At 40.0% G+C, this 18,251-nt stretch overlaps 1 protein-coding gene across 47 annotated transcripts in view, besides 2 other annotated features; it reads left to right on the top strand.

Annotated features, from left to right (window-relative positions):
* Nucleotides 1-18,251, top strand: part of BPTF (bromodomain PHD finger transcription factor) — a 158,876-nt gene that overhangs the window by 2,467 nt on the left and 138,158 nt on the right. The window lies entirely within an intron of this gene.
* Nucleotides 3,016-3,517: an enhancer, noted in NCBI's record as "NANOG hESC enhancer chr17:65827101-65827602 (GRCh37/hg19 assembly coordinates)". NCBI's record gives its function as "activates a minimal SCP1, AML or CMV promoter by ChIP-STARR-seq in primed H9 embryonic stem cells {active_cell/tissue: H9 hESC(primed)}" and the evidence as "EXISTENCE:reporter gene assay evidence [ECO:0000049][PMID:30033119]".
* Nucleotides 7,305-7,364: an enhancer, noted in NCBI's record as "active region_12633". NCBI's record gives its function as "activates an Ori minimal core promoter by ATAC-STARR-seq in GM12878 lymphoblastoid cells {active_cell/tissue: GM12878}" and the evidence as "EXISTENCE:reporter gene assay evidence [ECO:0000049][PMID:35858748]".

Below are 18,251 nucleotides of genomic sequence, written 5' to 3' on the forward strand. Positions count from 1 at the left end.
CGTCTGGGCTGGAGTGCAGTGTCCTGATCTCGGCTCACTGCAACCTCCGTCTTCCAGACTCAAGCGATTCTCCTGCCTCAGCCTCCTGAGCAGCTGGGATTACAGGTGCCCACCAGCACACCCGGCTAATTTTTGTATTTTTAGTAGAGATGGGGTTTCACCATGTTGGCCAGGCTGGTCTCGAACTCTTGACCTCGTGATCCGCCTACCTCGGCCTCCCAAAATGCTGGGACTACAGGTGTGAGCCACCGCGCCCAGCCTAGTACGTTTTTTATAGTAATAATTTTTACCTTAAGAAATCACATGTTGGTCTTCTTTGCACCCAGAGCCGGTAATTGAAACACGGAGACTGAATTGCATACACCCCTGGAGGAAGTTTTTTCTGGTTAAAAAGAGCTGAGACATTTTGGCAGGACAGTTCAGCTAACTTTAAGTCCTATTCGAAGGCATAGCAAATAATATTTAAGATTGATGGGTGTGCATATGCTGACTTAAATTACAATTTGTAGCTAGGTGTCCTTTAAGAAAAATGTGTTTACTTTTGATACTTTTGTGACATTTTGTTTTTCTTTTTTTGAGAAGGAGTTTTGCTCTTGCTGCCCAGGCTGGAGTGCAATGGCACAATCTTGGCTCACTGCAACCTCCACCTCCTGGGTTCAAGCAATTCTCCTGCCTCAGCCTCCCAAGTAGCTGGGATTAAAGGCATGCAGCACCACGCCCAGCTAATTTTGTATTTTTAGTAATGACGGGGTTTCTCCGTGTTGGTCAGGCTGGTCTTGAACTCCCGACCTCAGTTGATCCACCTGCCTCAGCCTCCCAAAGTGCTGGGATTACAGGCATGAGCTACCGTGCCTGGTCTGACATTTTGTTTTTCTTAATGACACTTGTGTCTACTTGTCTTATCCTTATATGAAATTATTAACTCCTTAGAGATAAGTATTGAGCTTATTCCCCCTGCAGCTCCTGTAACAGAGTTTTGCACATAGCAGGTGCTCATCAAAGATTGGTTGGATAAATTATTGTTAGTAGATAAGAACTTGTAATAGATGAAGTTTTGATAACTCTACAGTGGGTGTCATAATCTCTAAATACTTTGGATTTAGGAAACTAAAAATTGGTCTAATTGTTTTTTGTTTTTGTTTTTTGTTGTTGTTGTTTTTTCTAATTGGTTTTTGATGGACAATTTGATCAGTGAATGTTTTTTTTTTTTTCTGTGAACGTTTTTCATTGCAAGAGTTACTTTGTTTTTGAGTTGCTATTTCATATTGCTTGCCAGGCATTTTCCTTTATTGGCTGTGATGTTAATTTGGATGCTTTACCTTTTGCAACACATTATTTTTAAAGATTATGGTAAAATAGATGTGACTTTTTTTTTTCCTTATCTCTTCTAAAAAAAAACGGGATACATGTGCAGAACGTGCAGGTTTGTTGCATAGGTATACGTGTGCCATGGTGGCTTGCTGCACTTACCGACCGGCCCTCTAAGTTCCCTCCCCTTGCCCCCCACCCCCCGGATGTGACATTTTGAGTTCTAAACTTTTAGAACATGCCCACTTGCCTGGAATGAGTAACAATGCATGACAGTGAGTTGATTAGGCTAAGTACCAGTTTCATTGGTTTTTTAGTCTGTACTTCCTGGAGGAAGGCTGTCAGGTAAATGTGTAGATAGAAGAAAAAAAGTTTTAGAACTGGTTTAAGATATCCGAATAACACATAAAGAAGTATGATTGATGAGTTTGAATCCTGTTGTACTGTGAAGGCTGAAAGAGGAATTTACCTTATTGGTAATTTAGAGTAATTTGATTAATTTTTATAGTTTACAGGGTTGGTTTAAGTACTGACGTGACATTCCTAACATAAGAAATAGCTCACTCCTAATACAAGAAATAACTCAGTATTTTGTAGGTAATGTAACAATGCAAAGACATTAGTTGACATTACTAAAGTCATGAAAGGTTTATTCATTGAAGATTGTTTTCCTTTTATGGAAAAAATGTAAGGATGCCAACTTTTTAGTATAAAATTGAAATCACCTAGTTTTGCTTAAGCTAAAGGCATATCGCTGAATAATGCTTTAATTCATTTTTACTTTTTAAATTTAGACTTACTTCAGCCTATAGGTTTTATGACATTGCCAATATACTGAGAAGGATTGTATAGGAAGTGTTTTCAATAGGCATTTGGTAAGGTTCTGACAGCACTTTGAAATTAAGCATTTGCTAATTTTAAGAAATTATATTTAAAACAGAATGGTTCTTGTGTTGCAGTCTCAGTCTTGTGTGAGACTTCTGAGAATACTTACCTGGAATTTTAAAACTTGGAACCTCTGATAACTTCATGAAACAAAAACCCTGGTGTTACCCTGGGAGAGTTAGTGATTTATGTCCTCTAAGGATTGTGACATTGGAGATCAGTGGCAGAGATGCCATGAATGAACCATAGATTCAAATTCAAGCAGAATTTGTCACTGGTTTGACAATATTATTCCTATCAGTGTCAATATCTTTTCAGTATAATTTCTGATTGCTGCATGCGAGGTACGCAGTGCAGTGGGCATTTTAAGGAGGGCGAGATAATATACCCCATTTAAGGGGATTGATGTGGGCATACACTTCCTGGATGGGCATGTGGAGAGTAAGGAAAGGCAGATTGAGGGAGGGAGGGAGGGAGAGGGAGCGGGAGCGGGAGGGAGCAGCAGGCACTGATAGTAAAGTGTGGGCAGTCTCAAGTAACTCGGTTTAGCAAGAGCCTGAGTGTGTGAATAGGAAATAAACCAAAGCTCCTTTGTATGCTGTGTTGGGCAGTACCTAGAGGATCAGGCTATAGCAACTGTACTTTCCCCCTTTTCTGTAGAATAGGGATTGGGCTGGATTGTGATCCTCAGCCCTTTTTCACTCCTGAACACCCAGAGGAGTTATGTTGTATTCCCAGCAGCACCATGCACAAACATGAAACAGAACCATATCAAATCACAGAGATGCTGTTGAACCACTGGTGTAGCTGTTTCTCCCAAATTGAGAGAATTACTGGGGAAATGGCCTGAAGCTCTCTCTCTTTCACATCTGTTTAATTTTGGGTATTGGGATGATCGGAAGATCTTGAAAGAGTGGGGTATGATTTCAGAGGGATGCCACGAAGTATAGCTTAGATTCTCTTCTGCAGGATGGATTGACAAGGACGAGATAGCTGGTGGGTTTTGTAGCCCTGGATGGAAGATCAGTCCAGGAGGCACTTTAGAGTTCTTCAGGCCTTGACACATAGATGTGTAGAGAGAGGAATGCATTACATATGCCTCCCTAAGAATGGTAGCACTTTCAGTAACAATGGGGAGGTCAAGATTATAAGGGAAATTAATGACATCTGTTTTCAGTTATCAGCACCTCAAGAGGTTAAACATGAGAATTAAACAAAATGAGAGCCAAAAGGGTTATGAAAAAGTTGGGCAATATGATTTGTGAGTAGTAGAGAGGTGTGTCCTAGGTATGCATTAATAAATAGTCTTGCACACAGTTCGTGCTTTTCTATTCTGCTCACCCACGGGCGTGTTTGGAAGTTTGTATTGAAACATGCGTATCACAGGACTGGGGATGTTAAGACCAGGAACTCTGGTCTCTTCTGTTAGGTCCTCCTTTCCTCTTTCCTCAAGACCCTGTGTCTTCCCTTTGACTAAAGACCCTTAATGGTGGAGACATGGGGGTGAGAGACTGGTAGTCATGGTGGGCAAGTAGTATTCTGGGTGACACAGGAGCAAATCCTAGCTGATGCCCTTTTCCCTTCCTGCTCCTTAGCCAGGCTGGAATCCCTCTTCCTGGGAGATCTTCCCTGAGTCCTGTTTTGCACCTTGGTCTTCCTTCTCTTTGAGTGCCTGCTTACGGTGGTTATGATCTCAGCACTAGCTTAATGCTGACACTGATTATTCTAATTTTATTTATTTATTTATGAGACAGAGTCTCACTCTGTCACCCAGGCTGGAGTGCAGTGGCATAATCTCGGTTCACTGCAACCTCCACCTCCTGGGTTCAAGCGATTCTCCTGCCTCAGCCTCCCGAGTAGGGGACTACAGGCGCCTGCCACCACGCCCGTCTAATTTTTGTATTTTTAGTAGAGACAGGGTTTCACCATATTGGCCAGGCTGGTCTCAAACTCCTGACCTTGTGATCCGCCTGCCTCAGCCTCCCAAAGTGCTGGGATTACAGGGGTGAGCTGCCGTACCCGGCCTCTAATTTTTTTCATGCTTTTGGTTTTTTAAAATGATAAGCCTCAGGAGGCAGCATGTTTCTTAATTTAAAAAAAAAAAACCACTTATACATTAAAATGCACTTTAAAAGATCGAAGGTGACCGTATAGAAATAATTAAAATGCACGTAAATATAATTATAATGTTTTAATTGTTTTGTCTGCTGGTATATATCTAAAATTTTTATGTTTTTCTAGATAGTAAGTTATATTCAACTATTATTTTGTGATTGTCACATTTTAAAAATAGTGACAGTAATAGCTAAATTTATTGGACATCTTCTGAATTGCTGAATGATTTTCAAGCAATATTTATGAAAATTCAGTTTTTAAAAGGTAACAGCTGTATGGAGATATAATTTATATACTGTAAAATGTACCCTTGTAAAGTATATAATTTAGTGGTTTTTTTAGTATATTGACAGAGTTGTGCAACCATTAACACTACCTAATTCCAGCACGTTTTTATACCCCCGCAAAAGAAGCCCGCACCGTCAGCATCACTCCCTGTTCTTCACCTCCCTCCTGCTCATCCCTGGCAGCCACTAATCTACTTTGATTCCCTGTTGATTCGCCTCTTTTTTTTTTTTTTTTTTTTTTGAGGCAGAGTCTCGCTCTGTCACCTGGGCTGGAGTGGAGTGGCGGGATCTCAGCTCACTGCAACCTCCACCTCCCGGGTTTAAGCGATTCTCCTGCCTCAGCCTCCCAAGTAGCTGGGATTACAGGCACCTGCCACTGTGCCTGGCTAATTTTTTGTATTTTTTTTTTTTTTTAGTAGAGACAGGGTTTTACTATGTTGGCCAGGCCGGTCTCGAACTCCTGATCTTGTAATCCACTCGCCTCAGCCTCCCAAAGTGCTGGGATTACAGGCGTGAGCCACTGCGCCCCGCCTGATTTGCCTCTTATGGACATTTCTTATAAAGTGGAATCATATAATATATGTCTTCCATCATTTAGCCTAATGTTTTCAAGCGTTATGCATATCTTAACATGTATCAGTACTATATTTGAATAACACTTCATTGTATGGCTATACAGCCTTTTTTTTTTTTTTATGGAGACAGGGTCTTGCAGTGTTGCCCAGGCTGACCTCAAACTCCTGGACTCAGGCAATCTTCCTGCCTCAGCCTTCCAGCCTCCAGAGTAGCTAGGATTACAGGCACACATCTCTGTGTCCAGAGACCATGTTTTGCTTATCCATTTCTTAAGTTCATGGACATCTGAACTGTTTCCACTTTTTGGCCATTAGGAATAATGCTGCTGAGCACATTCGTGTACATGTTTTTATCTGTACGTATGTTTTCATTTCTCTTGGGTATATAACTAGGATTATTTGCTGTATTATTGCAAATTCAGTTTTAATTTCTTTCTTTTTTTTTTTTTTGAGACAGAGTCTCTTGTCGCCCAGGCTGGAGTGCAGTGGCATGATCTTGGCTCACTGCAACCTCTGCCTTCTGGGTTCAAGTGATTCTCCTGTCTCAGCCTCCTGAGTAGCTGGGACTACAGGTGTGTGCCACCATGCCTGGCTAATTTTTGTATTTTTACTAGAAGAGGGTTTCACCATGTTGGCCTTGCTTGTCTTGAACTTCTGACCTCAAGTGATCCACCCGCCTTGGCCTCCCAAAGTGCTGGGATTACAGGTGTGAGCCACCGTGCCTGGAAGAAAGTAATTCAGGAGTTAGAATGAATCCTTAGTGATAGATTGGTTAGGCTGGGATGTGGTGAGTGGGAGAAAAGGATTCAAGGATGAACTGACTTCTGAATCTCCCTTATTTCTCTTTTCCTTATTCACTCCTTATTTCTTCTCTTCATCTCGAATGGATCTAGTAATACTGATTTCTTTGTAGTTCTCACACACCTAACTCCTAGTCATCCATCCATCACCTTCTCCAGCCTGCCTTCTCTGATCACCATTCCCTTTACCGCCAGGTGGGGCTAAGTTCCTGTGTTTCCCACCCGTATAACCTCCAGGACCATGTGCATTAAGTGTTTTAGTTTCCAAATATTTGGGAATTTTTTAGCTATCCTTCTGTTACTGATTTCTAATTTAATTTCATTTTGTTCAGAGAGTATACTTTGTATGACTTTAATTTTATAAAACATTTTTAGAGGTTTGTTTTGCACCCCAAAATTTTGTCAGTCTAAGTGAATGTTCCATATGTACTTGAAAAGAATTTTGTATTCTGCTCTTGTTGAGTGGAGTATTGCATAAATGTCAATTAGGTCAAGTTTGTTGATAATGTTACTAAGATCTGTCTGACTTTCTGCTTGTTCTGTTGATTACTGAGAGAAGTCTTGAAGTCTGCAGCTATTGTGAAGGATTTGTCTGTTTCTCCTTGAAGTTCTAGCAATCTTCATGTATTTTGAGGCTTTATATTCATGTATTTTGAGGCTCCTTCCTAAAGTCCATAAACCTTTAGGAAGGATTATTTTATCCTCTTAATTATTTAACCCCTTTATCTCTATCTTTATCTGTTAAGACATGGAGCTGAAATGGGCTTTTAATATCTGGCCCTTCTTTAATTACAACCTACTTTGGGCAGGGACAGTCTCATTCAGTCTCTGTAGTGCCTGGTTCAATCTCTTGAATGCAGTAGGCAGCACAAGTAATTGTGGAACTGAATGATGAGTCAAAGAAAGCCTGTGGATTCTTTTCACGCTCTATACTGTCCAGTATGGTAGCCACTAGCCACATGTGGAGAGTTAAATTAATTAAAACTAGGCAGGCCAAGCGTGGTGGCTCATACCTGTAGTCCCAATACTTTGGGAGGCTGAGGTGGGAAGATCACTTAAGGCAGCAGTTGAAGACTAGCCTGAGCAACATAGTAAGACACTGTCTTTACAAAAGAATTAAAATAGTTTGGCAGAGGTTGGCATGCCTGTAGTCCTACCTAATTGGGAGGCTGAGGTGGGAGGATTGCTTGAGCCCAGGAGTTAGAGGCCCTAGTCAGCTATGGACCATGCCACCACACTCCAGCCTGGGTGACAGAGTGAGAACCCATCTCTTAAAAAAAAAATTTAAGTAAAATGAAAAGTTAGTTTCTCCTGTGGCACTAGCTGTTATATGTTCATTTCAAGTGCTCTATAGCCACATGTATTGCACCACACAAATGTAGAGCATTTGGGGCATTTCATATCATTGCAGAAAGTTCTCCTGGACTCATTGTAGTCAGTCTGCCTCTGTTAGACCAGGGGGAATTTACCTAACATCTCTTTTTCTCTAGCCTTTTATTTGCCCTAAATCCTGCACAGCTTGGGTAGCCCCAGCACTCTGGCTGAGTGAAGTCCTCCTTTGTGGAGACTCTGGGCCCAGCATTATTTGTGTATGTGATGGTATTGCATTTCTGCAATAAGATTTGGGGTCATGTGTGAGATGACTTTCCATTATTTGTTGTCCTTGGTGGTAGGGTGAAGAGGAAGTTAACATGTGATTAGAAAATCTGCCACAGTCCTGGTAATTTTTTTTTTTTTTTTTTTTGAGACGGAGTCTCGCTCTGTCGCCCAGGCTGGAGTGCGGTGGCGCGATTTCGGCTCACTGTGAGCTCTGCCTCCCGGGTTCACGCCATTCTCTTGCCTCAGCCTCCCAAGTAGCTGGGACTACAGGCACCTGCCACCATGCCCGGCTAATTTTTTGTAATTTTAGTAGAGATGGGGTTTCACCATGGTAGCCAGGATGGTCTTGATTTCCTGACCTTGTGATCCGCCCACCTCAGCCTCCCAAAGTGCTGGGATTACAGGCGTGAGCCACCATGCCTGGCCCAGTCCTGGTAAAATTAAGCTAAAAGTTATATATATAGGCCAGAAGAGAAGGAAGGATTAGGATTCAGAGACTTTTGGTTGAGAAATTAAATTTGATAATTCAGAGAATTTCAGTGTTATAAAAGTGTAAAAGCTGATATGCAAACTGAATTGCGAGATGTTAGTATGTCCTAGTGTGTCTGGGTTCTCCTGTATAAAACGTCTTAGGAGTCACTGGCCAAATTATTTATCTATGGAACCCCCTGAGATTTGCTAAGAAAGTTATACTTAGACTTCTTTCTACTCATGGATATGTTCTGTAATTCACACGCTTGGGAAACGGCATGGCCATGTGATTCATACCAAATGGCAATGTTCAGTAGGTGCAGTTTATATATTTTACTAGAAATATGGCTTCTTGCTCGATTTCAGTATGTTCATAGTGCCTCTTTTGAGGTCTGTGTATAGTATATAGTATATTCTATTTATGGAAGTTAAGAAGTATTTCAGAAATGCATGTATTAATCTGTGTGGAATTTCTCTTGTCCTGTTCTAATTCTTGCATAGATACTTGTCTCAAGAGATGGTCCAACATTTAAAATAGTGAATGACATCTTAGCTCATCCTAAAACAATCCTTTCTAAAGGTTTATGAACTTATTCATAGAGCCTCAAAATACATGAGGACTGATAAAACTCCAAGGAGAAACAGACAAATCCTTAACAATATCGTAGACTTCAACACTCTTCTCACAGTAATCAAGAGAACAAGTAGGCAGAAAGAAAGTGCAGTTTTCTGTTTTTGTAGACAGCAAAATTATTTCACACACTTCTTAAAGTCTTATTCAGTAAGTTACTCATTTCTCCACCTTATGACTGTACTGTGCTTTCAAAGTGCTGTGCAAAGAGTAAAATGTTTTAAGGTGGTTTTACTGTAATTTCACATACATATTTGAACTTTTGAGTCTGAATTATCCAGGTGAAATGCATTGGATTTCTGATCCTCTGTAAACTTGGAAGATTACCTTCTTCCAGGTATATTGGTTTTCCTTAATTGCTTTAATAGCATGAGTTGTGAATCTTCTCTGTGTCTCAGAAGAAACCTAACAGTGGAGATTGTTTATGGCAAGGGTCACAAATTTACATGCTCAGGTTAGGACCCTCTTTAAGGTAAAGACATGAAGTGCCCCCCTTTTTATTAATACATAACTGCATTTGCTGATAATATTGATTTGCCTTAAAAAAACTAGTCCTATTGAGAATTCAGGCTCTTTTTGCGTTTACAGACAGTGCTGTCCTGAATGTGCTAGAGATGTACCTTTAGTCACTTAAGCTGGTGTTTCTGTAGGGTAGATTCCTAGGACTGGGATTGGATTGTTGCATTATAGTGTGTACCATTTAAAAGTCTGGACCAGATTATACTCTCAACATCTGTTTTTAAACCTTCCCTAGTCTGTGCTTATGTGTTTTGTTTTTTTTTTTTGAGATGGAGTCTTGCTCTGTCGCCCAGGCTGGAGTGCAGTGGCATGATCTCAGCTCACTGCAACCTCCACCTCCTTGGTCCAAGCAGTTCCCCTGCCTCAGCCTCCTGAGTAGCTGTGATTAAAGGCGGACGCCACCACGCCTGGCTAATTTTTTTGTATTTTTAGTAGTGACGGGGTTTCACCATGTTGGCCAGACTCATCTGGAATTGCTGACCTCAGGCAATCTGCCCACCTTGGCCTCTCAAAGTGCTGGGATTACAGGCGTGAGCCACCGTGCCCAGCCTATGTGGTTTTAAATTAACTTTTTCTAGAATCTACTAAGGTTTACTCAGACCTTTAGCAGGTGTTCTTGGATACTGACTAGGCCCAGAGTCCTCTTCTCATCAATTTATTGGCAAATACACTCACTTGCGATGTGATATGAGACCCTGAGTTTTACCTCCCAAATGGCAGGATGTCTGTTTTGAGAGTTTCCTGGCCAAGTGGTGGAAAGTACCATGGAAATGGAGTTCTTCATTGCTTCTTACTTAACTTGAGTTTGGACCATAGAGAAGTCATTCTTGTGTGGACCTCAGTTTACTCACCTGTACAGTATAGGATGGACTAGATGATCTAATGGTCAGGGGACTGGCAAACTTGTTCTTAGGTTACCAATTAGTAGATATTTCAGGTTTTGCAGGCCATCTGGCTCTGTCACAGCTGCTCAGCTCTGCCCTCATAGCAGGAAAGCAGCCATAGACAATAAGTAAACAAATGAGCATGGCTGCTTTCTAATAAAACTTTATTTACAAAAACAGGCTGTGGCTGGCCATAGTTTATTCACCCCATTTTTGAGCTCTTGACATTCATTAGTCTGTGATTTCGATAATTCGTTTAGGAAAAAGGCTTTGAGTTTTACAAATAATGCTTCTGAAAATCTAGTAAAACCTTTAAATTTTATTTTTGCTTCTTCTCTTTATCAGGAAAGTAATGTAGAACATTTAGAAAACCCAGAACATTAATATTTTGGTTCCTCTCATTAGTTAACCATCTTTGTGTAAACATGTGTATGTACATACTTTTTTTTTTGAGCTGGAGTATCGCTCTGTCACCCAAGCTGGAGTGCAGTGGCACAATCTTGGCTCACTGCAACCTCCACCTCTTAGGTTCAGGTGATTCTCTTGCCTCAGCCTCCAGAGTAGCTGGGACTACAGGTGCTCGCTGCCATGCCTGGCTAGTTTTTTATATTTTTTTAGTAGAGACGAGGTTTCACCAGCCCAGGCTGGTGTTGAACTCCTGAGCTCAGTCAGTCCTTCCTCCTTGGCTTCCCAAACTGTTGGGATTACAGGCGTGAGCCACCACACCCAGCACATGTGTGCATACATACTTTTTACAAAATTGGAAGAAGTATAATTCATTTGCTAAATATTTTCACTTATGCCATGAAATCAGATTTTATCTTTGTGTATAAAAATACCTGCTCTGCTGGGGCTTCTAGTTGAAAACTAATGAATTTTAAAAATTAATTTAGTATTTAGCCACCTATTCTTTTTTCTAATTGTTTCTTGTAGCTTTTGCTTTGATTGGAATAATTTTACTCTAGGAATAAAGTTGTGTCATCTGCAAAAATGAATCATATGTACACATCTGATTTTCTTACATTTGTATCTCCTTTTTCTCTTCAAATTACATTGCCCTCTACCATTGATGGGAACCTGGGTAATAAAAAAAAAAGAAAAAAAAGAAACAAATTGCATTGTGTACCACCTCCAAAGCAATGTTAAATGTTAGTTATAACGATAGGCATCTTAGTATGCTTTCCGAATTTAATGGAACTGATGCGAATATTTCATGGTTAACTGTGGGTTTGAGACCTTCAATGTGTTGAATGTATTCACCTGGTTCTCTTTTTTTTCCTAAGTTTTTTTTTAAAAAAAAATCAGCTATGGCTATTGTATTTTGTCACATGTCATCTTAGCATCTTTTAAGATGATCATATAGTTTTTCTCCTGCAAGCTACATATTAATTACTGTGGTGTATATTCATAGAATTATATTAGATCTTATAATATTGATCCACCCTTACATTCCTGCAGCAAACCTCTCTTGATCCTACTTTTTCATGTACTGTTTGACTTTTAAAAAGGTATTTTAATTTTTAAATAGTTTATACATGTACAGTGCATAATGTATTTGAGATTCATCTATGTTGTTGTGTGTATCAGTAGTTTCTTTATTGCTGAGTAGCAGTCCCTTATATGAGTGTATCACAGTGCATTTATCCATTCAATAGTTGGATATTTCAGTTATCTCTGGTTTTTGGCAACTATGAATAAAGTTGTCCTAAACGTTTCCATAATGGTTTTGTATGAACACAATACTTGTTTTTCTTGAGTAAATACCTAGGAGTATGATTTCTGGGTTGTATGTTTATGAGAAACTGCCAAAACTGTTTTCCAAAGTAGCTGTACCATTTTGCATTCTTACCTGCAAGTGTATGAAGAGTTCCGGTTGCCCTGTATCCTCCCTAGTACTTGATATTGTCAGTTTTTTTTTTAAAAGACACCTTAATAAGTATATAGTGATATCCCCTTCTGGTTTTAATTTGCTTGTCCCTAATGACAAATGGTTCTGAGCCTCCTTTTATGTGCATCTTTTTATTTGCCATCTGTATACCATTTTTTATGGAAAAATACTGATTTTTTTTTTTTTTTTTGAGATAGGGTCTTGCTTGTTGCCCAGGCTGGAGAGCAATGGCACAGTCACCACTCACTGCAGCTTCCACTTCCTAGCCTCAAGCCATCCTCCCACCTCTCAGCTTCCCCAGTAGCTGGGATTTCAAGTGCGCACCTCCACAGTTGGCTAATTTTTTATTTTTATTTGTAGAGATAGGGTTTCATTATGTTGCCCAGACTGATTTCAAACTCCTGGGCTCAAGCAATCCACCTGCCTCGGCCTCTCAAGGTGCTGAGATTACAGGCATGAGCTGCCATGCCTGGCCAAGATACCAAAATCTTTATTTAAGATGTTTAATTGGGTTGCTGCTGCTCCTCTTGTTGTTGTTGTTGCTGCTGCTGCTGCTCCTCCGCCTCCTCCTTCCCCTCCTCCCCCCTTCCCCCTTTTCCTCCTCTCCTTCTCCTCTTCCTCCTCCTCCTTTCTATTTTTTTAGACAGTTTCCTTCTTTCACCCATGCTGGAGTGCAGTGGCATGATCTTGGCTCACTGGAGCCCGTCATTCCCCGCCTACCCAAGGCTCAAGGTGATCCTCCCACTTCAGCCTCTGAAGTAGTTGGGACCACAGGCACATGCCACTATGCCTGGCTAATTTTTGTATTTTTAGTAGAGATGGGGTTTCACTATGTTGCCCAGGCTGGTCTTGAACTCCTGAGCTCAAGCAATCCGCCTGTCTCGGCCTCCCAAAGTGCTGGAATTACAGGCATGAGCCACCATGCCCAGCCAATTTCTTATTATTGAGTAGTAAGAGTTCTTTATATATTTTGGATATAAGTGCTTTGTTAGGCTGTGTGATGTACATATATTTTCTCCCTGTCAGTGCCTTGCGTTTCATTCTCTTAACAGTGTCTTTTTCCCAGAGCATAAGTTTTAAATTTTGATAAAGTCTAATTTACCACTTTTTTTCTTTTACACATCTGGGGTTCGTCTAACAACTCTCCCTAATCCAGAGCTTGCCAGATTTTTTTGGTAAAAGGTCAGATAGTAAGGCCAGGCATGGTGGCTCATGCCTGTAATCCCAGCACTTCGGGAGGCCAAGGCAGGCGGATCACCTGAGGTTGGGAGTTTGAGACTAGCCTGACCAACATGGCGAAACCCCGTCTCTACTAAAAATACAAAAAATTAGCCGGTCGTGGTGGCACATGCCTGTAATCCCAGCTACTCGGGAGGCTGAGGCAGGAGAATGGCTTGAACCCAGGAGGCGGAGGTTGCAGTGAGTCGAGATTGCGCCATTGCACTCCAGCCTAGGCAACAAGAGCGAAAATCTGTCTCAAATAAATAAATAAAAAATAAATACCACTATTTAATACTAATATAAAATTAGTATTTTATATTAGCAGTAATATAATACTTTTTTTGACTAGTGATAGAATGACATATCTTTTTCTACCCTTTTGCTTTTAATTTATATATCATGATATTCGTCTATTGTTTAATTTGTGAAAATAAAGATGGGGTTTTGCCATGTTGCCTAGGCTGGTCTTGAATTCCTGGGCTCAAGCAGTCCACCCACCTCACCCTCCCAAAATGCTGAGATTACAGGTGTGAGCCACCATACCTGGCCATATCATTATAATTTGAAATGGTTTCTTGTTTGTTTTTCTTTTAAATTTAATCTGACAGCCTCTTTTAATTAATGTGTTTTGGACCATTTACATTTAATATGATTGATAATGATTGGATTTAGGTTTCCTATTTTATTATTTGTTTTCTGATTATCTCTTTTTTGAGGGGTTTCTTCTGTTTCTTTTTTCTGCCTACTTTTGGATTAATTGAATATTTTTTAGTGTTTTATTAATTGGCTTTTGGTTATATCTGTGCTATGTTTTTGCTGTAGGAATTACAAAATATATACCTAAACTATCTACTTAGAGTTAGCATTTTACCTCTAAATAAAATGTAAAATAAAACGTAAAAGTATTGCAACCATACAGGTTTCTTTATTCTAGCGCCCCTCCCTTATGTTATAATTGTACATATGTGTATATATCTTTATACACTTTCAATATATGTAGATACATATAGATATGTATCTACATATGCTTTCAGTGTATATCTATATGCATACATTGTATATATACATAGACATATATCTACATACATTGACAGATATATATCTACATACATATACAATGCATGCATGATACCTTTGGCCACTACATCCTTCTTAAATTTCCTGTTGCAACTCATGACTCAATTTCCTTGACCAGTTACTCCTCCTTCAGACATCCCTCTTACATGTGATAGTCCTCAGCATTTAGTTTCCCCAACTTTCCCCTAATTATCAGTTGTCTGAGTTACCACCATAATATCAATGACTTCTAGATCCACTTTTCTTCTTAGACCTCTCCTCTAAACTCCAGTTATGTATTTCCAACTTTCTGTGCTGTCCCAGATAAACTCCACATTGTAGGAAATAAAAAGAAAGGAGTTATAAAAGTTTAGGTTCAAAGCAAAATTTAGAAACTCACAAACGAGACAAAGATTTTTTGATGACAAAGGCTGTGGTCCACAATGAAAATATAAAACATGTCTCTATAAAACATATATGTGATAGAGACTGTCCCCAACTTTAAGCCTTTCAGTAATTCATGTAACTGCAGAACATCTTTAAAGTACTGAGAGAAATGTCAATCCAGAATTCTGTATCCAGCAAAAATACCCTTCAACAATTAAGGCCAAAAAAAAAAAAAAAAAAAAAAGACATTTCAGATGAAGAAAATCTAAGAGAATGTGTTGCCAAAAGTTCTGCTGTAAAATAAATATAAAAGAAGGTCTTTAGGCCAAAGGAAATACTAGAACTTCAGAGATAAAGAGCAACAGAAATGGTATCTGGGAAAATGTAAAAACACAAACAGTTGTTTCTTAAGCTCTTTAAAATATGTATAGTGGTTTAAAGCAAAAGTTATAACACTGGTGAGACTTTCAATGTATGTAGATATATATGTAGATACATATATCTATATATATGTAGATGTATGTAGATATATACCTATATCTACATACATATAAATATATATCTACATATATAGATACATATAGATATCTACATACATCTACATACATGTAGATGTATGTAGATATATACCTATATATCTACATACATGTAAATATATATCTACATATATGGATACATATAGATATGTAGACATAGATACATATAGATATATATCTACATGAGATTGAGTCTAGCTTTATTGCCCAGGCTGGAGTGCAGTGGTGTGATGTCGGCTCATTTTTGTATTTTTAGTAGAGATGGGGTTTCACCATTTTGGTCACACTGGTCTTGAGCTCCTGACCTCAAGTGATCTGCCCTCCTCAGCCTCTCAAAGTGCTGGGATTATAGGCGTACCTGGCCTTACATGAGACTTTGAATGTATGTAGATATATATCTAGATATATATATAGTATAAATATCTGTATATATCTAGATATATATACAGAAGATATATATCTAGATATATATGTATAAATATCTGTATATATCTAGATATATATACAGAAAAGCTTAGTTAATGTCTCTGTAGCACCTTTACTATAGAGCAGTTCTATCACCTTTGGGTGTGAGGGTGGTCTTTTGTGATAATGAGATTTTTAAATTGTCTGGAGCAGTTGTCTTTTTTTTTTTTTTTTTTTTTTTTTTTTGAGATGGAGTTTTGCTCTTGTTGCCCAGGCTGGAATGCAATGGCGCAATCGTGGCTCACTGCAACCTCCGCCTCCTGGGTTCAAGTGATTCTCCTGCCTCAGCCTCCCGAGTAGCTGAGATTACAGGCATGTGCCACCATGGCCGGCTAATTTATTATTATTAGTAGAGATGGGGTTTCACCATGTTGGTCAGGCTGGTCTCAAACTCCTGACCTCAGGTGATCCACCCACCTCAGCCTCCCAAAGTGCTGGGATTACAGGTGTGAGCCACCGTGCCCGGCCCCCGCCTTTTTTTTTTTTTTTTTTTTTTTTTTTAAGATGGAGTCTCACTCTGTCACCCAGGCCGGAGTGCAGTGGCATGATCTCAGCTCACTGCAACCTCCGCCTCCCAGGTTCAAGTGAGTCTCGTGCCACAGCCTCCGGAGTAGCTAGCTGGGACTACAGGCATGCACCACCATGTCTGGCGAATTTTTTTTTTTTTTTGAGACGGAGTCTAGCTCTGTTGCCCAGGCTGGAGTGCAGTGGCGCAATCTCCGCTCACTGCAAGCTCTATCTCCTAGGTTCACGCCATTCTCCTGCCTCAGCCTCCCGAGTAGCTGGGACTACAGGCGCCCGCCACCACGCCTGGCTAATTTTTTGTATTTGTAGTAGAGATGGGGTTTCACCGTGTTAGCCAGTATGGTCTCGATCTCCTGACCTCGTGATCCGCCCGCCTTGGCCTCCCAAAGTGCTGGGATTACAGGCGTGAGCCACCACGCCCGGCTAATTTTTTTTTTCTTTTTTTTTTTTTGTATTTTTACTAGAGACAGAGTTTCACCATGTTGCCCAGGCTGGGCTCAAACTCCTGAGCTCAGGCAATCTGCCCATCTCGGCCTCCCAAAGTACTAGGATTGCAGGGGTGAACCACTGCGTCCAGTCTGTTGCCTTACAGTATGTCTCACCATTTGGATTTATCTGATTTTTTTATTTATTTTTTTTGAGACGGAGTTTCACTCTTGTTGCCCAGGCTGGAGTGCAATGGCATGATCTCGGCTCACCGCAACCTCTGCCTCCCAGGTTCAAGCAATTCTCTTGCCTCAGCCTCCCTAGGAGCTGGGATTATAGGCATGTGCCACCACGCCTGGCTAATTTTGTATTTTTAGTAGAGACAGCGTTTCTTCATGTTGGTCAGGCTGGTCACGAACTTCCAACCTCAAGTAATCCATCCGCCTCAGCCTCCCAAAGTGCTGGGATTACAGGCATGAGCCACTGCGCCCAGCCTGATTGTTTTTTACATGCATAGATTGAGTTTAGTATACTTGTGATAGGAATGCTGTATAAGTGCACGTCTCCTCCTCAGCACATCTCATCAGGAGGTGCACCATCAATTTGTTCCATTATTGATATAGATCACTTGGTAAAGGTGACATGTGCTAGAATCATCCCTGTAAAGGTATCTTTCACCTTTGAAAGTAGTATTTATCTGTAAGGTGATTCTTTGAGAATATCCTATTGCCCAACAACCTTTCACCCAGTAGTTTTAGGATCTGTTGATGGTTCTTGCTTGAATCAGTTACACCTCTGATTGCAAATGGTGACTTCTCTATTTCTATCATTTCTTTGTTAATTATCTGGCATTTGAAGACATCTCCCTTTCTTCCTCTCTCCCTTTGGAGTCTTACTGAAGAGTGGCCTCGAGTTCTTTTATTATTCATTGTGAAAAACAAGAGGGCAGGCATGGTGGTTCACGCTTGTAATCCTAGCACTTGGGGAGGCCCGAGGTGGGAGGATTGTGTGAGCCCAGGAGTTCAAGACCAGCCTGGGCAATGTAGGGAGACCCCATCTCGACAGAAAATTTAAAAATCAGTTGGGCATGGTGGTGCATGTCTTTTGTCCCAGCTACTCAGGAGGCTGAGGTGGGAGGATCTCTTGAGCCCAGGAGGTGAGGCTGCAGTGAGCTATGATAGCACCACTGCACTCTAGCCTGAGCGACAGCAAGATTCTGTCTCAAAAAATATATATATTTTATTTTATATATATTTATAACTATGTATTTATATAAATGTATATAATAAAAAAGAAAAACAGGGGATCTTTATGTTACAGTTTTTGAGCCCACATTTTAGGAATGTTTACCAAACTATCCTAGAGCCATACTTACTTGGGGAAAAAACTAAAGAGGTATATGAAAGCTATTTTTATCTTTCAAAGGCTAAAAGACATTAAATGAGTTCTTAAACTTTTTCGAAGCCAAAATTTTTCTTTATCCTGTTTTGCTACTGAAGCAAAATTTTTTCTTGAATATAGGGTAACATTCACTAGTGGTTGATGAACCATTGTATTTAGTGGCAATCTTCTGTAAATAAATCTTTCAAATATAAAAGAAGTTATCCCATTAAAATAATTATAAAATAGTCCAAACATTCAGAAAAGTTTTAAAAATATAGGCTGGGCATGGT

This window comes from Homo sapiens, chromosome 17 (genome assembly GCF_000001405.40).
Source record: "Homo sapiens chromosome 17, GRCh38.p14 Primary Assembly".
Classification (NCBI taxonomy): domain Eukaryota; kingdom Metazoa; phylum Chordata; class Mammalia; order Primates; family Hominidae; genus Homo; species Homo sapiens.